Source organism: Homo sapiens, chromosome 11 (assembly GCF_000001405.40).
Source record: "Homo sapiens chromosome 11, GRCh38.p14 Primary Assembly".
Classification (NCBI taxonomy): domain Eukaryota; kingdom Metazoa; phylum Chordata; class Mammalia; order Primates; family Hominidae; genus Homo; species Homo sapiens.
This window is the reverse complement of record NC_000011.10, coordinates 123,417,761-123,445,218: the sequence shown is the minus strand read 5'-3', so window position 1 is coordinate 123,445,218 and position 27,458 is coordinate 123,417,761. Positions and strand designations below refer to the sequence as shown.

The window sequence follows — 27,458 nt, the reverse complement described above, 5'->3', positions numbered from 1 at the left end:
GGCAGAAATACCTGACAACACTCTTCCCACTTTGGAGAAGCATCTCAGCCTGATCCTTCTCTAGAAATAGTGCTTCAGAAATGTACCTTCCTCCTTATTTCACAGACTTCCTGTAGTATGAGATGAAATATATTTGGTCCTTTCCTGGTTCTTGTCCCAGAACTCCTAAAACCCTTGGACTTTCCTGAGTGACAGAAGTGTCTCTTGTTATTTGTAATGAGCCCCATAGATAATACCTGAGTTTATGCTAAGAAAATGACTTAGGATACAGCCCCTGGGGAGCCTCAAGATGGGGAGGAAGGACCAAGAAAGACCAAGTGACTAGAGGATTAGAAGGTTGGATCTCTCAGCTCCACCTACAAACTTCCAGGAAAAGAGAGAGGGAGGTGTGGCTGAAGATCAAGCTCTATGAAAACTCTTGGACATGGAGCTTTGCTGAGCTTCTGGGTTGCTGAACTCGTGCAGGTGCTGGGAGGGTGGTGTGTCCAGGGTGAACACGGGAGATCCATGCCCCATCTAACCCCCTGCAATACCTTGCCCTGTGTAAACCAAGCTAAAATTCTAAAACCCCCAGCTGACTGAATGGACACCACTTTAGGAGACCCAAGGGGACCCAAAGAAAAAAAAAACTAATTCGGGCCATGGAAAGACGTGGGGGCTCAAACATGCCTCATTATACTCTCCTCCTTGTGGAGCTCAGGCACAACTGACCAGCTTTAACATGAAAACAGAATTTTTTTTTTTTGAGGCCCAAGCTAGAGTGCAGTGGTGCAGTCACAACTCACTGCAGCCTTAACCTCCCAGGCTCAAGTGATCCTCCCACCTCAGCCACCCAAAGTGCTGCGATTATAGGTGTGAGCCACCATGCCTGGCCAAAACAGAAATCTTAAGAGTGGCAAAACAGACTATGTTGCAATAAGACAACAAATTCCAACCTGACTCTAGCATAATATTACGATAAAGAAGGAAGTTGAAATATTTTACTTCAAAATATGTTTCTTTGTTATATTTTGAAATGGCCCTGCAAAGCCATCTTTTGTGGGGAAAATTTGCATCTGTAAAGAATCTCTATTAACATAACTAGACTTTTCCCCTTCCAGACCTTCCTAATCCTGAAGAGATTAACTGAAAGTCTAGCACCTTTTAAAGGTCTGAATACAAAATACTGGCCATCCATTGTCTCTAAGGGCAGCCATGTGGGAGACTTCATCTACATAATAAGAACTTTGGTCTCCACAACCCCTTATCTTAACCCAGACACTCTTTTCTACTGATTCCAGATTTTAGATAATAACTTAACTCTTTTCTGACTTGCCAATCAGAAAATCTTTGAATCTGGGCCAGGTGCAGTGGCTCACGCCTGTAATCCCAGCACTTTGGGAGGCCAAGGCGGGTGGATCACAAGGTCAGGAGTTCAAGACCAGCCTGATCAATATGGTGAAACCCGATCTCTACTAAAAATACAAAAATTAGCTGGGTGTGGTGGCGCACACCTGTAGCCCCAGCTACTCAGGAGGCTGAGGCAGAAGAATGCTTGAACCTGGGAGGGGATCAACCTCTTGAATCCCAGAGGTTGCAGTGAGTGAGATCGTGCCACTGCACTCCAGCCTAGGTGACAGAGCAAGACTCCATCTCAAAAAAAAAAAAGAGAAAAAAGAAAATCTTTGAATCCACCAATGACCTGTAACACTAGCCCCCAGCTTCGAACTGTTCAACCTTTCTGGACCAAACCAATATATACCTCACATGTATTGATTATTGTCTTACATCACCCTAAAATGTGTAAAACCAAGCTGTAACCCAACCACCTTGCACACATGTTCTCAGAACCTCTTGATGCCTTGGACTGTGCCTTGGGCCATAGTCACTTGTATTTGGCTCAGAATAAACCTCTTTAAATATTTTACAGAGTTTGACTTTTTTCATCTACACCTATGTACCTCTGCATCTCATTATTGATCTGTATCCTTAATATCTTTTATTATTAGCCTATAAACATAAGTGTTTCTCTGAATTCTGTGAGCAGCTCTGTCAGAGGCGTTTAAATCAGAGCAACTCCATCTTGAATAGCGCCTTGGTAAAATAAGGCTAAGACCCGCTGGACTACATTCGCAGTAAGTTAAGGCATTCTTAGTCACAGGATAAGATAGGAGGTTGGCACAAGATACAGGTCATAAAGACCTTGCTGATAAAACAGACTGCAGTAAAAAAGCCGGCTAAAACCCACCAAAACCAAGATGGCAATGAGAATGACCTCTAGTCATCCTCACTGCTACACTCCCACCAGCGCCATGACCATTTACAAATGCCATGGCAATGTCAGGAACTCACCCTATATAGTCTAAAAGGGGTGGGGGGGGGCATAAATAATCCACCCCTTGTTTAGCATATGCTCAAGAAATAACCAGAAAAAGAGTAGCCATTATTTTATTCCTTTACTTTTTTTTTCTGAGATGGTATCTCGCTTTGTCACCAAGCTGGAGTGCAGTGGTGCGATCTCGGCTCACTGCAACCTCCACCTCCCAGGTTCAAGCAATTCTCCCACCTCAACTTCCTGAGTAGCTGAGACTACAGGTGCCTGCCACCACACTTGGCTAATTTTTGTATTTTTAGTAGAGACGGGGTTTTGCCATGTTGGCCAGACTGGTCTTGAACTCTGGACCTCAAGTGATCCTCCCACCTTGGCCTCCCAAAGTGCTGGGATTATAGGCATGAGCCACCGCGCCCAGCCTTCCTTTACTTTCTTAATAAACTTGCTTTCACTTTGCATTGTGTACTCGCCCTGAATTCTTTCCTGTGCAAGATCCAAGAACACTCTCTTTGGGTCTGGAATGGGACCCCTTTCTGGTAACAGCTCTAGTAAATTAATCGAACCCTAAAAGGGAGTCGGGAACTCTGGTTTATAGTTGGTTGGTCAGAAGTATAGATCTCAGATGCAACATGCAGATAGAGAAAAAATAAAAAAAGAAAAAGTACAGGTAGCTCTAACTTGTGATTGGCATCTGAAGTGGGGGCAATCTTAGAGGACTGAGCCCTGAACCTGTGGAATCTGACACCATCTCCAGGCAGAAGGTGCCAGAATTAAATTGAATTATAAGACACCCAGTTTGTGTCCACTGGAGAACTTCTTGGTGTGTGGGGAGAAAACCCCACATATCTGGTCACAGAAATGTTCTGTGTTGACTGTGAGAAAGAAAAAACAGTTTGATCTTTCCTTTCAAATTCTCTATCCTCAACGCATGGACTAACACTCTCCCTTACCTTCTAGAAGTGCAAGGCACAGAAGAAAAAAGTCTCTCAAATAAAAGGAAAATCTGAATGAGAAAAAACACCAGGAGATAATACACCAAACATGCCCTTGATATAGTCGGGATATTTCTCCCCTCCAAATAGCATGTTGACTTTTTTTTCTCTCTCTCTTTTCAGATAGGGTCTCACTCTGTTGCCCAGGCTGGAGTGCAGTGGCGTGGTCATGGCTCACTGAAGCCTCAACCTCCCAGGCTCAAGTAATCTTCCCACTTCTGCCTCTGAAGTAGCTGGGACTGCAGGTATATGCCACCATGCCTGGCTAATTTTTTTCTCTTTTTTTTTCTTTTATAATAGAGGTGGGGGTCTCACTATGTTGCCCAGACTGGTCTCAAACTCCTGGGCCTAAGCAATATTCCTGACTTGGCCTCCCAAAATTCTGGGATTACAGGTGCAAGCCACCATGCCTGGCCCTGGCTAATTTTTTAAATTTGTTGTAGAGATAGGGGTCACTATGTTGTCCAGGCTGGCCTCCAACTCCTCGGCTCAAGCGGCAATCCTCTTGCCTCAGCCTCCCAAAGTGCTAGGATTATAGGCGTGAACCACCACACCCGGCCTGCATGCTGAGATTTTGTCTCTAGTGTAGGAGGAGAACCTGGTGGGAGGTGTTTGGGCTGTGGGGGAGGATCTCTTATGAAAGGTTTGGTGCCATTCTTTCGAGAATGAGTGAGTACTCATTCTTAGTTCCTGCAAGATCTGCTTGTTAAAAGGAGCCTGACACCCCTACCTCTCTTTCTTGCAACTTCTCACCATGTGACAACCCTGCTCCCCTGTATTAGTCCATTTTCAGGCTGCCAATAAAGACATACCTGAGACTGGGAAATTTACAAAAGAAAGAGGTTTATTGGACTTACAGTTCCACGTGGCTGGGGAGGCCTCACGATCATGGTGGAAGGTGAAAGGCACATCTCACATGGTGGCAGACAAGAGAAGAGGGCTTGTGCAAGGAAATTCCCATTTTTAAAACTATCAGATTTCATGAGACTTATTCACTATCCTGAGAACAGCACAGGAAAAACTTGCCCCCATGATTCAATTACCTCCCACCAGGTCCCTCCCACAACATGTGGGAATTCAAGATGAGATTGAATTGGGTGGGGACGCAGCCAAGCCATATCAACCCCCATTTGCTTTCCACCAGGAATAGAAGCTTCCTAAGGTCAGAAGCAGATACTGGCACCATGCTTCTTATGCAGCCAGCAGAACCATGAGCCAAATAAACTTCTTTTCTTTATAAGTTACCCAGTCTCAGGTATTACTTTATAACAACACAAACAGATCAATATACCCTCTAATAACTGAGTTAACATGATAAAATTATGTTTTCCTTTTTCCTACTATCCAAAACTTTACAATTAACTAGCTATTTTATTAGATACAATATGCTGACTTTTTTTTTCTTTTGAGACGGAGTCTCACTCAGCCGCCCAGGCTGGAGTGCAGTGGCGCTATCTTGGGTCACTGCAACCACTGTTTCCCGGTTTAAACGATTCTCCCGTCTCAGCCTCCCGAGTAGCTGGGATTACAGGCACCCACCATCATGCCTGGCTAATTTTTGTATTTTAGTAGAGACGGGGTTTCACCATGTTGGCCAGGCTGGTCTTCAATTCCTGACCTCAGGTTATCTGCCTGCGTTGGCCTCCCAAAGTGCTAGGATTACAGGCGTGAGCCACTGCATCTGGCCGCGTTGACTTTTATGGCATAAAAAATGATTTCTTGTGCTCACTTCAGCAGCACATGCACTACATTTTTTAAAATGATTCCTTTTAAGACAACAAGCTTGAAGACTCTTGGAGAGTCTCAAAAATGTGTCACTAAACTAACCATCCATTGCCTTTCTGTATTTTCCTAATTGCTGAGGCAAATATTGCAAGGGTTACCATCCCCAAACTGGGCGCTCCCCCTCCCCCAGAAAATTATTTTTCTATGGCTGCAAAAAGGAGGGCAAAAACCAAATAGGTTGTTTATTGTTTTTCTAGTCATCTCCCTCAGCTCCATCATTTCCTGGATAAACTTGCCAACCAGAAGCAGCAAGACTGAAAATCTCTGTGGTCAGATTGTGGAGGGAAGAGGCACCAGGCTGGGTGGGGGAACAGGCTTGACCACAGTGATGTGCTGAGAGGGAGAGACCTTAAAAAGAATGAGGCTGCTGCAGAGATGTAATAGGTCTGTTAGAAACTGGTCGAGATTTCAGGTCAGAGGCCTGAGTTTCAGCTCTGACCCTGCACTGCCTCCGTGACGTGCCTGGTCATCTCATTCCTCCATCTCATCTACAGATCAGAATTGGAGAACCGGAGTCTCATCCCAGCTTGAGGACATACAGAGGACACAGAAGGGCTTCATACCCTCTGACTACCCAATGTGTTAGGGCCTCAAAGGAAAAACCCATGGTTTTCTTTATCCCTCCCTTCCACAAAGGGACCAAAGGCACAGCCACATTTTCCTAGTGAGGATTTCGAGCTATATGACAATATCTGAATCGAAAATCCAGACATGTGGTCTGATAACAGAAGAGGATATTTGAAAACAGGAGTGTGTTTAGGAGGTTGCTGCCTATGGTGGCAGGGAGTGGCTGGCTACTGCCCAACATCTCCTCACCAGCTGAGGCATCACCATCCTGCTTCCCTTCTCCCACTGGAAAACCCACATTCGATTTTCTGTTCTGAGTCCCTGAGAGAAGCTTTCTGTTCTGAGTCCCTGAGAGACCCGAAACAAGTCTCCTCTGAGAGGACACTTCCTTCCAGGCTCCAGAGTCACAGGAGAAGAGCTCATAGATTCCCACCCCCCAAGACAATAAGAAGCTATGTCCCTCCTCACACCAGGCACAACAGCCCCTTGGCAAGTCACACACTGATATGTGCTATGGAAGAAAGAATCCCATTGGGGCAAATGCCCCAGGAAAAACCCTCAGGTTTCATCAAGCTCTTGTACACACAGCAACCCAGCAACCACCTCCAGGCTCTCCGGGCCAGCCTTGGCCCCAGGTCTAAACACCTGCTTCAGGGCCAGCAGTTTGCCCACTGGGGTCAGGAAGAAAATTCCCCACTGGCAGCTTAGCCATTCAGACTCCTTAACTTCTGCGTTACCCTAGAAGCAATTATCAGTGACCAGCATAGCAATTGGAGGCTATATAATACCTGGGAGAAATGCACCAACTAGGACAGAAAGATCACCTGTGCATCTGCCCCATGTTCATACCAGCCCCTTACCTGATGTGTAATTGGCACCCTCTGAGTGCATAACCACCAAGGAAATTTTCCAAATACCAACTCCCACAGAGGAAGCTGGCCAGTATGAAATCAGCCCACAGGGTTCCATCTCTACCGTCTCAGTTTCCACAGATTGTTTTAATCTAGAAACCACATCTACAGCCAGGCGCTAGCTGATTCTCACGGAGGAGTCCACCTAGACCGTCAACAGGGTCATCCTCACACCTCTCTGCTTCCCACAACCTCACACACATCTCCTCAATGGCCTCCCGACTGTCCACATTCCTACCTTGCTTCAGGACCTCCCCCTCCACATCTACAAGTTCTCAAGCAGGGGAGGGCTGACTGCTTCCAGGCCCTGGGGGGATAGGGCAGTGGAGCTGTAATGAGCTCAGGCTTTGGAATTAGGACACGCTTCAAATCCCAGCCTTGCTTCTGTTGGACCAGGAGAATGTTAATCTCTGAACTTCAGGTTCCTCAGCTGGAAAACCTGCCTGGGGGGACCGAGGCATTGTTGTGAGGATTTAATGTGATAATGTATTTAAGGCTGCTTGGCAGAAAACTTGGCACAAAGTAAGACCGGTCCCTGCCCTCAAGGAATTATGAATCTGGTGGAAGTTTTTGCCAGTTAACCCTATCCAGCACCGATCACTTACTTAATCCACTGACCAATCATAGGTCTCCTTTGCATTTGTTCTTTGCTTTGTGTTAAGAAGGACATGAGTTTTCTCTCTCCCACACTTCCTGTGCTTCTCATATGTAGCAGGGCACACACAGAGCGGAGAAGCTACACCAATAGTGACGGGGGCTGAGGGGGAGAGCATTCAGATGCACAAAATCACCCTGCTCTCCTGGAAATGGAGCTGAAACCCGAAACAAGTCTCCCTCCAAAGGTCAGAGGAAGGAGATGAAGAATCAAGATAAATATACCAATGCTGTGTATTCATTACAGGCAAACCACACGCCAGCTAGGCTGGCACCAGAGAGATGACCTAGCCTAGCATGCTGGGCACAATTAGTGAGCGGCACTACCAGTGGTCAGACATGGAGCTAAGTGGAAACCCTGAGGCCCTCCACTCTCTAGCCGCCAGCCTGCTAGACTGTGAGCAGTCATGACGGGGGTAGGTGTGTTATGTAGAAGAAGGGACATAACAGCCAGGTGAAAGATGGTACAAAAGATAGTAACAGTGAAGGTATACTGGGCAGAGATGCAGAGAGGTGCTTCTGCATCCCCTAGAAAGAGCCTGCAGTTGGCCACCACCCAACTCACTCACCCGTCGTCAGCTTTCCCTTCCCCCTCCAGAGAGTGATGACAAGAAGACATCCTGGGAGATGTGGTTTCATCTAATTTCTGAGTTTTCTGAACCTAGCAATTCAGAGAAGGGTTCCAATCCTCAGTTTGGGTTCTGAACAATCACCACAACCAGTTTTGGGCAAGGAAGTTAGAAAGACATGTGAGTATTAATGCTAAGAGCCTGCCCCATCAACTGCAGGCTACGCTATTCCCTGAGCTCAGAGGGCAACATGGCCAGCAAAAAAATTGTGCCATCTTGATAGACTGGATTAAGAAAATGTGGCACATATACACCATGGAATACTATGCAGCCATAAAAAAGGATGAGTTCATGTCCTTTGTAGGGACACGGATGAAGCTGGAAACCATCATTCTCAGCAAACTATCGCAAGGACAAAAAACCAAACACCGCATGTTCTCACTCATAGGTGGGAATTGAACAATGAGAACACATGGACACAGGAAGGGGAACATCACACACCAGGGCCTGTTGTGGGGTAGGGTGAGCGGGGAGGGATAGCATTAGGAGACACACCTAAAGTTAAATGACGAGTTAATGGGTGCAGCACACCAACATGGCACATGTATACATATGTAACAAACCTGCACATTGTGCACATGTACCCTAAAACTTAAAGTATAATAAAAAAAAATTGTGCCGTCTTATGTTCAATGGTAGTTAAGATGATGCTTTGCAGTTAGACCACTGAAAGAAAAGAGCAAGACTCCAGGCCTTCACCTCCCCACGCTTCCTCCCCACTACACGGAACAGCAGAAAGTAGTTGCCTCGAGCAACACTTTGAGAGTGTCTCTCCCAAGCTCCAGAATCTACGACAGCTCCTCATTGAATTGACTTCACTTTGCCTAGGAAGCGCTCTGCATATAGGATCTCAATACCTGTTTGATGACTGAGTGATTCATTGAAATTCAAACTCTTTGGCATAAATCACCTTCGGTCTGTCAGCCTCACCACCTTCATTTTTCCACATTCCTCAACAAGATCACATTTGGTCATCCATCTCTATCTTCAAGCCAACACATCCAAACTGCTTTCACCTATAGGCATTTGTTAACCCTTCAAAACTCAGCTCTCTATAGATCAGTGGTTGTCTAGGGCTGGGGAAATGGGATGGAGAGGGTGAAGGTGCTAGCCAAAAAGTATGAGTTTCAGTCAGGCACAGTGGTTCATGCCTGTAATCCCAGCACTTTGGGAGGCTGAGGTGGGCAGATCATGAGGTCAGGAGTTCAAGACCCACCTGGCCAACATGGTGAAACCCTGTCTCTACTAAAAATACAAAAATTATCTGGGCGTGGTGGCGAGCTTCTGTAATCCCAGCTACTCAGGAGGCTTAGGCAGGAGAATCACTTGAACCCAGGAGGCAGAGGCTGCAGTGAGCCGAGATTGAGCCACTGCACTCCAGCCTGGGTGAGAGAGGGAGACTCCGTCTCAAAAAAAAAAAAAAAAAAAAAAAGTATGAGTTTCTTTGTGGGGCAACAAACGTTTTTAAAAACTGACTGTGGTGATGGTTGTACATAGCTGTGAATATATTAAAAACCACTGAATTATGCTTTAAATAGGTGAATTGTATATTATATAAATTATATCTCAATAAAGCTGTTTTTAAAAACTCAGCTCTGTACTCATCTCCTTTTGGAAATTTTCCCACACTCATGAATAAAAGAATTTCACTTTAAACAGTAGAGAAAAAGGAATCATTTATTTACTCATTATTAACTCATCAACAAACATCTATAGATCTATAGATCACTGTAAGAGGTCAGGTACAGTGCTGTGACGATACAAAGATGAACATGATTGGTCTTGGAGTATTCCAGTGAACACTGGAAAGTTAGTAAGCCATGCTGTCTTTACCATTTGTTCCACTTCTTCCTTCCTAGGGTTTAAGGAGAAGAAAAGGGTCTCCTAATCCTCTTCATATTTTCAACTTTGTGCAGTGAAAATCCGCAAGCTTGAGCTTCAAGTCAGTGACAAGTAAAAAAACAAACAAACAAACAAATAATGAAACAAATAATGAAAAAACAAAAATTAAAAGAAATCCACAAGCTATGGCCCTCTCAGCCACTTAACTTCTACCACATCACGCTGAATTTCATAGCAAGCCTGAAAGGTGTTTTTCTCTCTTTTGGAGCAGGAGATTTGGGGTGGGGAATGTGGAGACGTCATGCTGGGCCTGGTATGCTAATCCTCCCTAATCCAGGCCAGAGCAGAGCCATTTTCCAACCATCATTTCCAAATCCTGAATTGTGTGAGGAGGCTCAGGTGCTGCTCCAGGACACGTGAGTATGTAACCTCATACTTTTAAGCAAACATCCATTCCATGTGAGAGACTCACAGAGTAATGAAATAAGCCTTCACCCTTGCACAGCAAGAGGAAGTTTGCAAAACATTTTCACATTCACTACTCTTCAGACTTCCCATTAACCCACAGAGATCCTCTTCCACAAATGAAGAAGGTGAAACTCATGGAGGTAAAGTGAAATGCTCAAGCTAATCTCCATAGCTAATCGATGATAGAACTTAAATATACAGCTGTCTTCTGATATTAAGTCCAATGTTCCCTGCACTCCATTGCCTCTAAATGCCAATTCTATTTTCTTTTGGAAATGGAGTCTTGCTCTGTCGCCCAGGCTGGAGTGCAGTGGTGTGATCTCAGCTCACTGAAACCTTTGCCCACAAAGTTCAAGCAATTCTCATGCCTCAGCCTCCTGAGTAGCTGGGATTACAGGCGCGCACTACCATGTCCAGCTAATTTTTGTATTTTTAGTAGCAACAGGGTTTTGCCATGTTGGCTAGGCTGGTCTCGAACTCCTGGCCTCAAATGATCTGCCTCCTCAGCCTCCCAAAGTGCTGGGATTACAGGCATGAGCTACCACACCCCGCCACCAATTCCTTCTCAGGCCACTTGGTGGTATCTACGAGCACCTATTCACTTGATTGCTGCTTTTCTTGGAAGGAAGCCTTTCATCTTCGAGGCCTAAAAATGATGGGGCTTTGTTTTACACACAATCCAAATAGATTCCAACAGAAGGCAGTATAACAGTAGCTAAGAGTAGATGTGAGTCACACGAATTTGAATTTGAATCCAGAGTCTGCCTTTTCAGATACATATGTTCTTGTTTTTTGTTGGTGGTGGTTTTTTTTTTTTTTTTTTTTTTTTGGAAACGGAGTCTCACTCTGTTGCCCAGGCTGGAGTGCAGTGGCGAGATCTCGGCTCACTGCAACCTCCACCTCCTAGGTTCAAGCAATTCTCCTGCCTCAGCCTCCCGAGTAGCTGGGACTACAGGTGTCCACCACCACACCTGGCTAATTTTTGTATTTTTAGTAGAGACGGTGTTTCTCCGTGTTGCCCAAGTTGGTGGCTAACTCCTGAGCTCAGGCAATCTGCCTGCCTCATCCTCCCAAAGTGCTAGGATTACAGGCGTGAGCCACTGCGCCCGGCTGATACATAGGTTCTTCTAATCCAAAAGTCACCACTTAAAATAACTGCCTGAACTACATCTAGATGAAAATCCTGCCAAATTTTAAGGATATGTCCCCAAATCCAACAAAATGAAGGTTCCACTACACACATAGACAACTCTCGAAACCAGGAATACCTTCCTAAATCTAACCAAATCTACTGTCATCCCCATCCTAGCCAGCAATGCAAGATTTTTTTCTTCATACACACAAAGACACACACACACACACACACACACACACACACACGCACGTAACATTTTAAGCGTTGGGGGTGGGGGTCTCACCATGGCTGAAATGCAGTGGTTATTCACAGGCACCATTATAGCCTACTAAAGCCTTGAACTCTTGGGCTCATGTGATCCTCACACCACAACCCAAGTAGCTGGGAATACAGGCCATGCCATTGCACCCGGCTCTTTTTACCATATTTTGTCCTCAGTATATATGGCAGAATCTCAAGATCAAAAGAAGGTCTCTTTTAGTTTCTTTTACATTGGAGGGAAAAGCCGACAAGCCATGACAAACTACTTTATTTATTTATTCATTTAAGATGAAGTTTCGCTCTTGTTGCCCAGGCTGGAGTGCAATGGCGCGATCTTGGCTCACTGCAACCTCCACCTCCCGGGTTCAAGCAATTCTCCCGCCTTGGCCTCCCGAGTAGCTGGGATTACAGGCACCCGCTACTACACCTGGCTAATTTTTTGTATTTTTAGTAGAGACAGGGTTTCACCATGTTGGCCAAGCTGGTCTCGAACTCCTGACCTCAGGTGACCCTCCCGCCTCACCTCAGGTGACCCTCCCGCCTCAGCCTCCCAAAGTGCTGGGATTACAGGCATTAGCCACCGCCCCTGGCCTGACAAACTACTTTAGTTCAAGGTTAGCTCCCACCAAGCTTGCCCCATTTCCCTCTACTCTGTGAAAAGGGTAGCAGGATGAAGTACCAAACAGAAAGAACTTCTATCCCCAGCGTCCACAAAAATCCACGGAACAAAGCTCTGTATCTGCACCTGCTGAGAGAACCATGCTCAGTTGTTGCAAACAGAAAAGATAAACTCTGGAAGGCCCAAAATGCCCATCTTCTGCATAACGGATCCTACTCCTCAGTCCCCACCCCGCAAAGACACATGGCTCATCCTGTTTCTCCTGCCATTCTTCATATTGTTCCCTTCAGCCAGTCTTATGCACCCAACCTCATTCTTTTCCTGCTGTTTTCTACTACCCATCTGTATTTGTCATGGTGTCAGCCTCTTCCTTCAAGAAGTCTTCCTCTACTTCTCCAGAACTCTCTCTTTTCTAGTACAATCAGTACCACACAGCACAGTATGTTTTCCAATGGCTCCCACAGGTCTTCAATTTTTTTTTTTTTTTTTGAGACAGAGTCTCACTCTGTGGCCCAGGCTGGAGTGCAGTGGCACAGTCTTGGCTCACTGCAGCCCCTGTACCCAGGTTCAAGCGATTCTCTTGCCTCAGCCTCCCAAGTAGTTGGGATTACAGGAGCCTGCCACTACACCCAGCTAATTTTTGTACTTTTAACAGAAATGGAGTTTCGCCATGTTGGCCAGGGTGGTCTCGAACTCCTGACCTCAAGTGATCCACACGCTTCGGCCTCCCAAAGTGCTGGGATTACAGGTGTGAGCCACTGTGCCCAGGTGTTCATTTCTTATACAAGCCTCCCCTCATCTTCCTTCTCAGCCTCTACAACCCCTTACTCTACCTATCCTTCCCCCACACCCTCCTCAACATCACCACTATTAGCTGTTACTAGACTGAGCTCACAGAAATATTCAGTAAGTACTTACTGAATTGAAATCAATGTAATTGAACAGATTTGGAGAAGGAATTCCAGGGAAAGTGATCAATGACTCAGTTGCTCCGCACAAGAACACAAATCCATTAAGAGACAGGACCCTAAAGTCTCAAAGTAAATATGTAGGATTCGTGGTACCGATGAACAAGTGAGGACTCCCTGCCCTCCACCAGGCAAGGGGCTTGGCTCAGACACAACTTCCTGAAGCAGCAGTCCTGACCAGGGCTGTGTAGAGCTGCTCTAGGGCGCCCTGCAGCAATTCTCTACGTGAGGGAAGCTCAACCTTCTCCCATTACCCAGATGCCACATTGACCTAGGCAAAAAACTAGCTGGTACAAACCACAGTCTTGTAGGTATCGATGTCTAAAGACTCTGATATGGTAGGAAATGTGACTCACTCAATGTCAATATTTCACTTCCACACAAGTGAGCCAGTTAAGGCAATCCGGTGTGGCCAAACATAAAATAAGATTGAAACGGAGTCCTGAAATATAAACCACTTAACTGTTCTCTGGCCTTTTACTATCTCCTTCTGTAGAAAGGGAGCCATAGTAATACCTACCTCAGAGAGTTTGCGTAGGGATGAAATCTGGAGGTACATGAAGTGCGCAACATAGTGGCCCGCACATGGTAAGGGCTCAATAACTATTAGCTGTTATTATTTTTATTATTTATTTCGCTGCGAGGATCAAGGGAGATGGAATGCAGCGTAAAGCCCCACGTAAACGTGTCGTGCAACATGAAGCCCCTCACCCTGAGTTGGGGAGCGGGTGGCACGCGTGGAAGCTGAATGCCACCATCCCTGGGACCAGGCGCAGCGCCCTCCAGAAGCGCCTCTGGTGACGGGCTCCTGTTCTCCCCCAGGACGTTTCCCCCAGAATGCCCCGGGGCCCTGGACGGCTCTGGAGAGGACGGGAGGGAAGGGAAGGAGACGGGCGGAACGGGGACGTACCTGCTTTCACTGCACTCCTTCCGCTCCCTCACCCTCAGCCACTTGCGGAGGAGGAAGCGTTTTCGGCGCGGGGACGCGCTGGGTGTGGAGCAGTTGGACCACGGGGTGTCCTCGTCGCTGGAGGGCGTGATCTCGATGGACGGCAGCTGCAGGAACTCCTTGCCGGGGGCCAAGACGGCGGGCAGGTCCCGGGCCAGCCCGGCCTCCAGGCTCTGCTCCTGTACGTTCTTCATGCGGCGCATCTTGAAGCGCCGGCGGCGAAGCGTGGGGGTCGACGAACTGGACCAGACCGGGCTGCCCTCGGGCGCACCCTGCGGCTCGGGCACCTGCAGGGCGGGCAGCGGCCGGTTCTCCATCATGTTGGCCGCCGGCATGGGGGCCGTCGCCTCTGCGCTCCCCCTGAGCCCTCCGCCAGCGGCCTGGTTCGCGTCTCCCTCTGGCTGTTCCCCACCCTCGGCCCCGCGGCACACTCCCCAATCCTGGGGCCGAAGGAACAAGTTCCTTTCCCGGAGCGCAGCGAGGAAGGGACGCGAGGGGACGCGGCGTAGCGCGCCGCCGCCCGGAGTCTAACTTTTCGGAGCGCGCGTCCTCCGGGCCGTCAGCCGCCGGCGAGGCCACCCGGGAGGGGCGGGAGCCGCCTGCCAGCCACTCGGCAGCCCTCCTGGGGCTCCCCTCGCGCGCCCGCTTGTTTTTCTTCCGCTGCGCTTCCTCGCTTGCTGGCGTCTTTGCCTTAGCGGGACTCGGCAGCCAGGGGCCCCAGGGGGCGGTGCAGCAAACTCTCAGCGGTTTGCGTTCAGCAGACCAGGTTGGGGAGCCGGCTTGGCGCTGCAGGGAGGTAGAGAGCGGGAGGAAGAGGCAGTGGTAGGAGGGAAAGGGAGAGAGAGACAGAGAGAGAGAGAGAGAGAGGAAGCGAGACACTGGATAAAAACAAAAAAGGAGGAGGAGGAGCGGGGGCTGGGGGCGGGGTGAGGGGGGCTATCCTGAATGGGCTAGCACTGGCAGCGACCGCTAGTGTAACTGTACACGGATTCCCTCGGGGAGGGACTCGACCTCCAAGTAAAGGCTGCTCCAATCAGCCTACTGAAATAGGATCACAAACCAAACTTTCTCAGGGCAACGATTGGCCAGGCAACTCCCATTAGTCGAACTCGGCTATTTCCTTGGGGGTGGGGGGTGCAGAGAAAGGGGAGTCAATGAATTCAGTCCTCACTCTCTCAGGCCACCCATGATACAGGGTTGAAGGAAAATGAGGAGACTTTTCAACTAGCTCTTGTCTCCTAAGAAAGGCAGTTTAAATTATTTGGGGGCGTGAGTAGTGGCACTGCAGGCCGGAGTATAGTCAGAGGAGGAAAGCAAGGTTGCTGGAGGCTGCTTCCAAAATGACAAGCTGAGAAGAGGACAGTTCTCCCGTGGCGGCGTGAGCTGAGGATACCAGACATGACATACCAAGGAAAGACAGACAACAGGGTCTGAGAGACAAAGGACACAGGACCAGTAAGGAAAATGGGGCCTGAACCCTGTACATGAGCCAGCTGCCAGTACCATAGCCGCGTCCCTAGCAAAGAATGAAATGAGGAGTCGGTGAGCACCCACAAAGCAATGCATCCAACAGAGCCCCAGGGAGTCGAGGGTACCCCCCCTTACATTGCTGAGGGCTGATTCAGTTCTGCTTCAGCCTGCCATGGACTGAGTCACAGAATCCAGTATGTCCCCATGTCATGGAACCTAGGAAGTCTGGTTCAGTCCTGGTAGCATCCCAAGATGTGCTGAACCACACTCACTCTCTAGACCCAGGCCCTAAGAGATCATCAACCCTAGAACCGATCCATCCTATTTAGGTGCTCTCTGTGGGCACTGAGTCTAACCCAGCCCAGCTCCTAGAGCAGGGCTGTAGCAGCCATTCTCCTCCTTCAACCCCAGCCCAATGCATTTGTCTCTTGGGTCAGTAACTGTTTTGTTTTGTTTTGTTTTTAAGAGACAAAGTCTCACTCTGTTGCCCAGGCTGGAGTGCAGTGGTGCAGTCATGGCTCACCGCAACCTTGAATTCCTGGGCTCAAGCTGTCCTCCCAGCTGAGCCTCCTGAGTAGCTGGGAGTACAGGTGCGCACCACCACACGCAGCTAAGTTTTATTTCTTTTTGTCGATATGAGGTCTTGCTATATTGCCCAGGCTGGTCTCAAACTCCTGGCCTCAAGTGATCTGCCCACCTTGGCCTCCCAAAGTGCTGAGATTACAGGCATGAGCCACCATGCCCAGCCTGGTCAGTAACTTTCAAAGAGATCATGAGAAGCACCCAAGAACATACCATGAAGTCCACAATCTGATCCACCCTTCTTTTCTGCCTCTCTCAGAGTCCAGTTTCCATCTGGGAGCCAATGCCCAGCTTCCGTGCCAGGACAAAAGTCACATTTCACAAGTGTCCCGAAGCTGAGGAAAATTCACATCCCTAAAGATCACAAGAATTCACTGCAAGTAAATACATCCCTGCAGTTCAGCAAGACATCAAGGATGACAGCTGGCTATGGATCTACCAAGCTCTGCAATGACACTTGTCAAGTATGGAAAAGCTCAAGGCATCCTGACATTACACAACTTTTGAGAGGCTGGGAAACCAAGGGAAATATTTCTTCCTCAGGGAGAGAGATACTGCGGCTGAAGAGCCAAGGCCAGGCCCTCCCATAAATGACTCCCTGGAATGTCAGCCCCCGTTTCTGAAATCCAGCCACTGGCCCTCTCAGGAGTGATTTGGTTTCACTCTACTTTAACTCCTGGACATAGCACAGAAAGCAGAAACCCCTTGCCATCAGGTGTCAGGCCTGCCAAGGTCACCTCTTCCGGCTCCAGGGATGCTGAGGAGATTGCACTGTAACTCCAAACTTCAGGATCGGGAGCTAAGCCAAGTTCCACAGAGTTTGTTCACTGCCTTGTACTTCCTCCAAGGACGAGTGTTTTGCAAGGGATCTGATAACTTCCCAGTTCAAGGAACCTGAGTTTTGGGCGGGCTCTTGACATAGAAGATGAGGGTCTCAGGGGCTTATGGGAAGAAAGGAAGCCAGGACACCACCATTCGCTTGGAGGCCAAAAACACAAAAGGATGGTCCACAAGACAGGGGCCAGAAGATTCTATGGGCAGCTTGGGAAGAGGGAGAAGAAACAAGGGAGGAAGCTTTAAGTTTGTTCTGGGCACTCTGAATTTAAGTGTATACCTCTTACAAGGAAGAAAAGCCACCAGCACCCTCTTCCCACACACTTCAGCCACTTTTCCCACTCACAGTAGATTCTGGAACTGAAATCCTGTGAGATTTAATTCAAGCCTTGGGCACAGCAGTGGCTAAGAGTGATCATTTACATTTCACCCGGCCTGAGGGAAAACCTCCAAGCAGGAATCTAAAATGTTTCACTTGATTGGGAAGCAGATACCCTGAGCTCTCTTAGCCTGAACGCTGTCCTTACTCACTTGCACCTGCAGTCCCTTCTTTTTTTCAAGCCATAACCCTTTTGACCGTTAAAACCCTGTTCAAAACACATCCTTCAGCCCTTTCCAGCTGTTTCTGTTGCCCATGGCTCTGGCAAGTAAGATAATAAATGAGGCACTGCTTTGAAATATGAAATGCCCTACAGCTGTGAGCCAACATTACTGTTAAGACTATAAGCTCCTTGAGAAAAGAATCAAGTTTCTCCTTCCTTTAATTCTCTCCAGTATCCTGTGCTTGTTATGTGTATGGTGACCTTTACACTTTTGGAAAGAGCTTTCATACATCACACTGTGTCTTCCCAGCGGCCTTTACAATTGATGAAAGTGGGACAGAGAGATTCAGTAGTTTATCCAAGGTCACAGATAAATGATGATGGCTAATCAATGACAAGGCCAGAATTGGAACTCATGCCTTCTGAAGCCAGTTTAGAGGCCTCCAAAAGTGTAGAGAAACAATTTCTCAAAGTAGCTGGTGCCAACATCAGAACCAAAGAGTTTTCATGCCCTGCGTCAGAATCTCAGCGATTGCACTTGCTCCCCAAGTCTCCCCACTCCCATATTTCTTCTCTCCAATATTTGGCTCTCAGCGACCGCACAGTTCTCTGTGAAACAGACCTCACCTTTGCCCCCATTCCCCGCTTCCCCAGACAGGTGGTAACCAGAACAACCCAGCCTCCCCTTTCCCCACCTGCAGCCAGGCCTCTGACTTTAAATGAAAGGAGGTCATATTACCAAGCAACTGTTGTTTATTCTCAGCTGCACAAGCTCCCTTTTCCTACAGACACAAGACACCCAACACCTGTCTATTACTTCTGGAGACTCATAAACTACTATTATTATTCAATTTCCAGGGGAAAACTTTAGTGAAACATAGTAGCTTCCAGACTAGATTTCTCCTGGGTACACATCCAAGTAAATGTGAACTGGAAGGCGCTGGCACCCCGGACACCTTATTGCACCTGCTCCAGGATGCCAAGGCAGGGAACTCCCAAAGACACAGGAATGTCTCCCCACAACACTGTTGTTGCAAGACAGACAATCCCCACTCTCAACACTGGGACACAGAGTCTCTCCCCTACACAACATTCGAACGGCCAATCCCAACGGTTGGCCCATTATGAGGGAAAGAAGCAGGCAGTGAGCATAGAAGAAGTGGAATTTGAGGCTGGCAGGGAAGCTGGAAATACGGACAGAAACGTGGATGATGCTGAGAGCAATGTTGACTGTCTTCAAACACACAATGAAGGATGGCCAGATTTCACTCTGCAGCTCTCATTTTGCTGCTGAGCAAGAGGAAATGCATTTCTGTAGAGTGCAGCATGGGGGATTTGGGATAGATGATAAACATTTACCGAGTGTAAGGCTGGTTAAGGACTGGCCTGAATGACTAAGACTGGGTAGAGAATGGCTTTCTCTGTAGGTCTTTTAAAGGTAACTGGAGCCTACTTAGAGGCAGTGGCAGGAAAGAGATGATCTCTTAAAGGCCCAGCCCACCCTACTACTGTGGGTCTCTAAGACCCAGATTGTTTCTTTTTAAAGTAGAAGCAATTCACTTACACCTAAAACAAAGTCTGTTTGAGCTGACCTGTTACTGGCTCAAAGGCATTTTGATCACCGGATGCTAAACACCTCCCTGAGACCCACAAATAGCTTTAATATCTTGCACTGGTGAACTAGAAATACAGGGATCAATTACCAGGATGGTGCTGAAGCAAGGAAGTGAGGGTTCGGGGATGAAGACAGGAGAAAGAATTGGAGGGAATAACTTAAACTCCTCCCCATGGTATCTCCTTTTGTTTCTTTCACGAGTCCTCCCTTCATTTCCCCAGGGAGGGGCTCACTACTTTAAGAAGGGTCAGAGGATGCTGCACTGAATTGGTGTGGTTAGAGAAGCAGTGTGGAGGAGGAGGCTGGTGCTGGTTAAATACAACCTAAATCAAACCACAGTTGACCAACCACCACATCCAGCTTCTCCTTCCAAGGAAAAAGGGAGAAAATGCTTCAGGACTTTGATGGAGACTCAGTTTCCGAGAATAGAGCCCTGGGCAGTGCTCTCAACCTTGGGGAGTACACAGGGTCAGCTCTTTGTTTCCAACAGCCCTCACAGGGGCCAGGGTGAGCAGTGACGTCACCTCAGGAGAAGGACTGTCACCAGATAAGCCTCCTTGGTTTAATCGCTCATCAAAAGGCTTAGGCGTCAAAGAAGAATGTTTTGCACAATATTTGGCTGCCCTTGTACTTGACACCAAGGATACCAAGGCACAGAAGGACATCATCTCTTGTCCTCTAAATCTTGCAAGGACTTATGTGCAAACCAGGGCTGCAAAAGACTTTCTGAGGTCGCCCCACCTGTCCTTGGCTGCCCATCCCAAGGAAAGCAGGTGGCATGTGCTGGAATTTCTGCTGTTGCTTTCCTCAGAAGCATTGCAAAATATCATCAGCTTATACTAACTACCGACTAGTGATTGAGTGTGCAGACCCAAAATCAAGCCACCTGAGTTTTGGACCTGTTTCCATCACTTGCTAGCAGTTTTATTACGGTTAAGTTATTTAACTTCTCTGCAACTCAGTTTCTCATCTGAAAAATTAAGTAAATAAATAGCATCTCCTTGCTGGAGTGATTGTGAGCATTAGTGCTGTGTAGGGCACTTAGAACAGAGTTTGGCACACAGTAAGTGCTCCATAAATGTTAGCCTTTGTTATGTATAAGTTTCCTTTATAATACCCTTCGTAGGAAACAGGACTATTCTTGTTGATTTTCAACTCAGTTTAATTCTACAAGTAGTTGTTACGCTAGAACACTGTGTAAAGCTCCTTGTTCAGGAAGTCCTTGGGATATAGCTAGATAAATAAGATACACATGGTGCATTGGAGCACATGATCCCTCAAAGCAGAATTAATTAAGTGCAAAATACAAGTGCACAAGAGGTGTGACTGGAAAGATTGATAAATTTTAACTAGAGGAAAAGAGGTAGTCTAAGCAGGTCCTATGGAGGAATGGGTATTTAAGTTAATACTTCAAGTCAGAATTTCAATAAAAAAGAATAGGGTGTTAGCAGTTTGAATAAAAGCATTGAGGAGTGAAAACTCACAAAGAGGTTTTGAAAATAGGAAAAGATAAGTCAGAGCATAGGGTGAGACATACAGGATTAGACAATGAGGCTGGACAAATGAGGGGTCAGATTGCAGTGCAGAAGGGTTTTTGGTTGGTTGTTTGTTTTTAATTAGAGACAGGGTCTTGCTATGTTGTCCAGGCTTGTCTTGAACTTCTGGTCCAAAGGGATCCTCCTATCTCAGCCTTCCAAAGTGCTGGGATTACAGGTGCGAGCCACCACACCTAGCCTAGTGTTGAATTATAGATTTTATTCTTTAGGCAAGGGTTGCTATTCAGATTGGTTTGGGTTTGGTGGTTTTCTTTTTTCTTTTTTTTTTTTTTTTTGGTGTTGGGGGACTGCATTACTAACCTGTATTTGAGAAGCATCAACTCTGGTGACAGCATGAAATTTGAATTGGAGAAAAAAGCAGATGGGAACCATAAAAACCAATTAGGAGACTATCATTCAATCAGCCAATATTTTTGGAATATTGACCATATGAATGGCAAATAGTTCTGGTAAGAGATGGAGAAAATCTGAAATAGGGCAGGGGAAAAATGTGGAATGAGAGGAGATAGGCAAGGAAAAGGAGGAACCTCTGGAAGAAAACCAAGAAACAGCAATCACTGGGAAGCCGAGGGGAGAAAGGAGGCGTTTATTGCATGGCTACACTAAGCCAGGCGCTGTGCTGAGTGCTTCACCCACAAAATCCCAGCTGACTCTTGCAACAACTCTGAGAAATAAATATCAAAAGCCCTATTTCAAGATGATGAGAGATTTTACAAGGTGACTTGCCCAAGTTCACACAGCTAGTAGAAGATGAACACAAATTTAAACAAGGGTCTCTTTGCTTTAAAACTTATACTTTTTAAAGTATACTACATTTCAAAGAGATAAATGATGCTATATCCTATAATGAAGTCAGGCAGAAGAAAGACAGAGATAATTCCATTAAATTTTGTAATTAGGTCATTGATGACCTCTGAGACAACAATTTCAGTAGAGTGGTCAGAGAAGAAATGAGATTGCTATGGGTTGAAGAGTAGTTAGGGAATGAATTAATGGAAGCTGCAAGATTAGACTGCCCTTTCCAGAAATTAGTCAGCAAAAAGAATGAGGGACATCTATTTTCAAATAGTTTTTGAGCATCTACTAAGTGTTAAACATCCTTCTAATGCCTAGAGTTAGACTGTGAAAAGTTACTTGTGGTTGGAGTGGGAGCAAAAGGAGAGAGAGAAGAGAAGAGGAGAGAGGAGGGGAGTGGAGGGGAGAAGAAAGGAGAGGAGAGGGAACATTTGGGGTTGGGGATAAGGTTTTTTTTTCTTTTAATCTGTGTGTGTGTGTGTGTGTGTGTGTCTTATTGTTGGTAGATGTTATGTTTTAGAGGAACAAAATGTGACTGTATGATTATGCCATTTACAATGGAGTTCTGCCTATATCTGCTAAGAAAATTGGAGCTTCGTGGTGTACCTGGTAATCTAGCAAATCAATCAAAAAGTATTTAATCTTCCCAGACTCTAAGCATACCTTAATAGTAAGTAGTGTGAAGTTTCTGAAAAGTTTATGAAAAATGATTATTGCTTCCTACAAATATTTTTTGAATGCCTATCAAAGATGACTCTGGCCTCAGTTGCTTCAAATCTGGGGGAAGGGAGGAAGGAGCAGAAAACCAGTCCAAGAACTACAATTTGGTAAATTTACTTCAGGAGAAATGTGTACCAAATGCAGAGTGAACACGAGGGAGAAGGATCCTGATCCAGAGAGAATTTCACAGAGAAGACAGTACCTAGTCAAGGTTTGAACGTGAGCAGAGGCATTTTCCATGTTGAACAAGGGGGTCATATTTCCAGCAGAAGACCCACATGTGCAGAGGCATTGAGGCATAAAAGAAAGCATGGTTTGATCGCTTCTCGGCCTTTTGGCTGAGGTCAAGTGTAGAAAGCATGGTGTGTTATTGGAATTCCAAAAAGAACATTTGGAGCATAATGAATGTAATGAAAAAGTTTTAAAAACTAGAAAACAGTTGCCTGGTTTGTTCTGATAGGACAGCATGTTTGCCAAACACCAGAGAAATATTAGCCTTTACATATTATGTCAAGCAAAAAATTGGAATTACTTTTTATGACACAGGAAGAAGCTGAAGACGACTAGGCTGTATGGAGGATTTTCATTGGTGGTCCCTGTAATCCAGCTCTGGACAACCATTCCTACTGTACCTTGAGAGGTTTATCTTTCTGCAAACAATGCATCTTGAGGCAGTAACTGTAAACAATTCACCTCTATGCAATTCTGCACTTGGTGCGAACTCTTGCCTCAATGAAATTCACACTGTGGGATGTTCCCACTTTTCAGGAATAGTCCGTTTCCTCTACCCTGCTGCACTGCGCCCCAGAACTGGCCCTAGTGGCAAGCACCCCTGCTTGTATCCCCCCCACATCCCTCTCCTACAAATGGAGACTCAGGACCACTATGCTCACATTTTTGCCTCAAACCAGTGACTACATGGCATTTTAATACTCTGAAATTGAGATTTAGGGATGAGTTATGCTAGGTAATCTACAACGTCTTTTTGTAGCTTTCAGGGTCTATCAGCTGGAAAGGTCTACTTTGCTTTAAGCAATCCTGATGTATGAAAATACAGATTTAAAAAATATCTGAGTCTGGCATGATCCTTCATATAATTCAAATCATTTGTTTTACAGAAAAGATTTATTAGAATACATTGTTTCTTTAAATGTATGAAATTTTAATTCAGTGATAAACTTGAATAAGGCACACTCAAATGAGGAAGTCATTTGTTGCATAACTTTGGGTGTCCAAATAGACATGAAACATGTCACCTTTTCCAGGAAACGAAACAACTTCATTTTCTATGCCCTCAACCACTCCCTGGATGTAAGCAGATACCTCTGGAAGATATATTAATTCTGTCTGACAGTTGGAAATTTTTATAAGCAGTAAAAATATCACCTTCTTCAGGTGACAGAATTATAGCCTGGAAGAAGAATTAGCTATCTCATCCCATGCACATCCTTCTTCTACTCTATCTCACTCAGGTTCATAGATGAGAAACTGAGGCATGGGCAAGATAAATCTTAGACCAAGATCACAAAGCTGGAGCTGAAACTGTTTTATGTGAATCAAACATCTTTCAGTCAAGCGTTACCTTAATGACTTCTAGTATTATTTTGGACATAATATTTTGACCTCTGAGAATAATTAAAAAACAAACTGCACAGAGGAGTCCTAACAGTCAGTCTGCATTTGTTGGCAAACATTCTGTGCGCATCTAATTCCCTCATAAGCCCACACAGAGCAAGAAGTTAATCAAACACAAATACCTCACTAGAACTAATCCCAACATGTGGACGTGTAGATTTGCATAAAAGGTATAGAATGGTTACTGGCATTTGGGGAGGCCTTTTTGCTTTACATAAACAGGATTCCTGCATGTGGGAAATTACCCTAATACATTTTACTTGATTGATATACAACTTTGCAAGAACATCACTACTTACTAAAAGTATATCTGTAAACAATTAACTTACGTGGTCTTGCCCTTTCACTTTAAAGCAAATATATGATACCTAGGACCTGAACCACATGAAAAATCTGCTTCAGTCAGGTATAGATTAGAAATGTTTCAGTGTCCTGAAAATTTTCAGATTCACCTAAGATTTCATGAGCAAGGCACTATATTTTGTTATTTAAGTCTCATAATAATCCTGTGAGGTAAGTGTTATTTTTTCCCATTGTAGTGATGAGGAAACTCAGGCTCAGAGAGATGAAGAACTGCAGAGGTCAAGATTTAAACCCAGGTATTCTGAATCCCAAACCAGTGTTTTCTCCACTTCACTATTGCTCTCTTTTGACTTTCTGTAAAATACACATTCAGACTAGTTCTCCCTGTCATCGTTTGTGAAGACATGTAGTTGATTTGCAATTTGGGAGATTAATTAATTTGGAGTTGCAATTCAGCAAACCAATACCCTTTGTTTCCTTATTCAATTCAGTCAGTTTCTATCTGTTCCCTAAATTTCCTTGGGAGTTTGTATCGAATTCTAAATATTAAAGAGAAAAAAAATGCACTATCCCAAATATTTAGCAGAACTCCCTTGAAATAAATTATTATATTAGCAACATATTCTTTTCATGGCATATTCAGGCCACATAATCAGTTTCTCATTTGCCATTAATAATGTAGGTGTACCTCTACTTTATCATTTTTACCCAAGTGTCTTTAATACCTCTTACCTGTTAAGAAGTCTACCTGTAGATCTGAGATGAGTCATCAGGGATCGGTAAGTCCTGGTGCTTCCTGGTTCCATTATCGAGGACTGCAGACTCAAGGCTCCAAGCAGGCACTTTGGACCGCAGAGGAGAAAACTGCAGAGCCTAAGTCTCCACTATGTTCATTTGCTTAAAATGAGGTTTGCCATCCTCTGTTGCAATAGTAGCTTAGTAAACAATAAAAGACCTTTAAAAGTAGCCTTTCCATGGTCTTAAGATTCTAGTTTAGCTTCCACAGGTAGATCTAACTTGTTTCCAGAATGTAGTCAGGCAATGGTTTAAATCTTACTAGCCAGAACAAAGTCTTCCTTTTTGAAGGCTTGTTCACATGATCATTCCGTGCAAGTTTGCTACCTATGCAGGACCTTGGACCTTGGAACAAGGACACTGGGTTCCATTCCCACCATAATAAAATCTCCCCAGCTTAACTCAAAGAACAGCCAGTCAGCACTCATTGGCCCCATATGTCCTTCAGGCAGAGGCCCACTAGGGTACTGAAAATCTAGTCTACTGCTTTCCTTCCTTTTTCTTGCTCCCTCTCTCTCTTTCTCTTTCTCATTCACACACACACACACACACACACACACACACACACACACACACACACACTTAGAAATTCCCCGACTCCCTTCTTGCACCAGACACTGGTTTTTTTGTTTTGTTTTGTTGTTGTTGTTTTAAGAGACAGGGTCTCTGTCACCTAGGCTGGAGTGCAGTAGCACAATCATAGTTTACTGCAGCCTCGAACTCCTGGCCTCAGGCAATCCTCCTGCCTCAGCCTACAAAGTAGCTTGGACTAGAGACATGTGCCACCACAGCCGGCTAATTTTTATTATTTTTTGTAGACACAGGGTCTGGCTATGTTGCCCAGGCTGGTCTTGAACTCCTGGTCCCAAGCAATCCTTTAGCCTTGGCCTCCCAAAGTGCTGGCAGTACAGGCATGAACCACCATGTCCAGTAGATGCTGTTAATCCAAAAATAAATGATGAGTTCCCTTCTGTATAGGTGGTAAAGCCCAGAGTGAACCTGTTGGGGACAGTATCACTATGAGTTTGAGACCAGACAACCTCTGTGGTCACTTGCAAGTCTAAGACTCTAGAGCATTCCACAGTTCCCAAGTTCTATATGTAGCAAGTCTCTGTCTGCTCTTGCTCTTCAAGTTGACCTTTTATGATGTCTTTTCCTTCTGTTCTCCTTTGAGAATGTCCTCAATATTCATTTATTAATCAATCTTCACTAGCATAAAAAAATCTCAAAGCAGTTTACCCACGTCTCTTTCCAATGCATCATTTCCCACCTTGTATCGCAATTAGTGATGTGCATGTTCCTCCCACCCTAAGACTGTGACTGCCATCCACACAGGATTTATGTCCCATTCATCGTTGTTGTGTGTTACCAAGCTCACTGCTCCAGACTGAGCACTTACATTTATGCTCAGTAAGTGTCTATGAATGAAAAAATGATGGTGGAGGGACAGGGGAGGACAAGGAACAGGGCTGGGAGGTTTGAAGAGGCACCTAGTGCAATTATTTCCCAGCCTGGAAGTCTCTAGAAATTGTTCTTCTGCCACAATGCCCTTCTGGAGAGAAGAAAACTGAAGAATATCATCTGCTTCAGCCCTGCCATTTTCCTAGGGGCAGCTCTGACTGTGGTCACAATATTCCTTAGATTATCATATCACACTAAGCCAACACCACAGAGGAGGTCTCAGGAGAAGAAACCTGGGACTCTAATGCCCTTTGCCCAGAACATTCACTCCTGATTAACTAAAGTTCAGGTTTTTTAGGTAAAGGTGTTTGGACTATGAATCCCTGGGGAGCAATTAAATGAAGGAACAGGAATGTACTTGGAAAAAACAGCTTATCTATCAACTCTTAAGAAAATACCCTGAATCGGAGTTCAGTCAATCCTCTTTCTCCTACTGGTAAGGCCCCCAGCTTAACCACCCCTGAGAGAGGGGATTTCATCCTACTCTCTTTCAAAGATCTCCAGATGGGCAAATCTTCCAACTCCCCTTGGGAAACCCTGACAGACTTGTGTTCTCGTGCTGCCCAGCTCTCCAGAAAAATAACCATCCTCTTCCACGGTTTTCCGTTTGAAGGATGTCTGCAAGTCCTGATTAGAAGGCTGACATTAAGCCATCATTTTATTTCCCCAAAATGTCTGTTTATTCCATTTGAGTTTCAAAGTAGAAAAGTACCTTAGAGAAAGAAAGCCAGCTTCCACATTTTATATATAAAATAGTTAGGGCATAGTGGTTCATTCCTATAATCCCAGCACTTCGGGAGGCCAAGGTGGGAGGGCTGCTTGAGGACAGGAGTTTGAGACCAGCCTGGGCAACATAGCAAGACCTGATCTCTACAAAAAATAATTTTAAAAATTAGCCAGGCATAGAGGCATGTGCCTGTAGCCACAGCTACAGGTTGCTCACTGCAACCTCCACCTCCTATGTTCAAGTGATCTTATACTCAGCCTCCCGAGTAGCTGGAATTATAGGCACACACTACCACACCAGACTCATTTTTATATTTTTCGTGCAGACAGGGT

General features: G+C 45.7%; 1 protein-coding gene and 1 long non-coding RNA gene across 21 annotated transcripts in view, besides 3 other annotated features; one reads left to right on the top strand and one right to left on the bottom strand.

The window, feature by feature from the left end:
- GRAMD1B (GRAM domain containing 1B) overlaps positions 1 to 27,458 on the bottom strand; it is a 269,346-nt gene that overhangs the window by 182,549 nt on the left and 59,339 nt on the right. For 4 of the 20 annotated variants that reach the window (NM_001387024.1, NM_001387025.1, NM_001387026.1 and 1 more), the window contains exon 1: positions 14,053 to 14,950. The exons of 5 other annotated variants lie outside the window; for them this stretch is intronic. In NM_001387024.1, coding sequence (NP_001373953.1) covers positions 14,053 to 14,426 — 374 coding nt within the window. In that variant the 5' untranslated portion in view covers positions 14,427 to 14,950. Of the gene's footprint in view, positions 1 to 9,503; positions 9,786 to 14,052; positions 14,951 to 16,356; positions 16,474 to 24,875; positions 25,199 to 27,458 lie in introns of those variants that run through there. 11 more of the 20 variants (XM_047427322.1, XM_047427320.1, XM_047427321.1 and 8 more) reach the window with 6 other exon arrangements.
- Positions 999 to 1,978: an enhancer, noted in NCBI's record as "NANOG-H3K27ac hESC enhancer chr11:123313949-123314928 (GRCh37/hg19 assembly coordinates)". NCBI's record gives its function as "activates a minimal SCP1, AML or CMV promoter by ChIP-STARR-seq in primed H9 embryonic stem cells {active_cell/tissue: H9 hESC(primed)}" and the evidence as "EXISTENCE:reporter gene assay evidence [ECO:0000049][PMID:30033119]".
- On the top strand, positions 14,005 to 20,143 carry LOC124902776 (uncharacterized). Its single transcript, XR_007062928.1, has 2 exons — positions 14,005 to 14,272; positions 16,403 to 20,143. It is a non-coding gene; the product is annotated as an uncharacterized LOC124902776 (long non-coding RNA).
- Positions 14,323 to 14,372: a silencer, noted in NCBI's record as "silent region_4016". NCBI's record gives its function as "represses an Ori minimal core promoter by ATAC-STARR-seq in GM12878 lymphoblastoid cells {active_cell/tissue: GM12878}" and the evidence as "EXISTENCE:reporter gene assay evidence [ECO:0000049][PMID:35858748]".
- Positions 14,483 to 14,812: a silencer, noted in NCBI's record as "silent region_4015". NCBI's record gives its function as "represses an Ori minimal core promoter by ATAC-STARR-seq in GM12878 lymphoblastoid cells {active_cell/tissue: GM12878}" and the evidence as "EXISTENCE:reporter gene assay evidence [ECO:0000049][PMID:35858748]".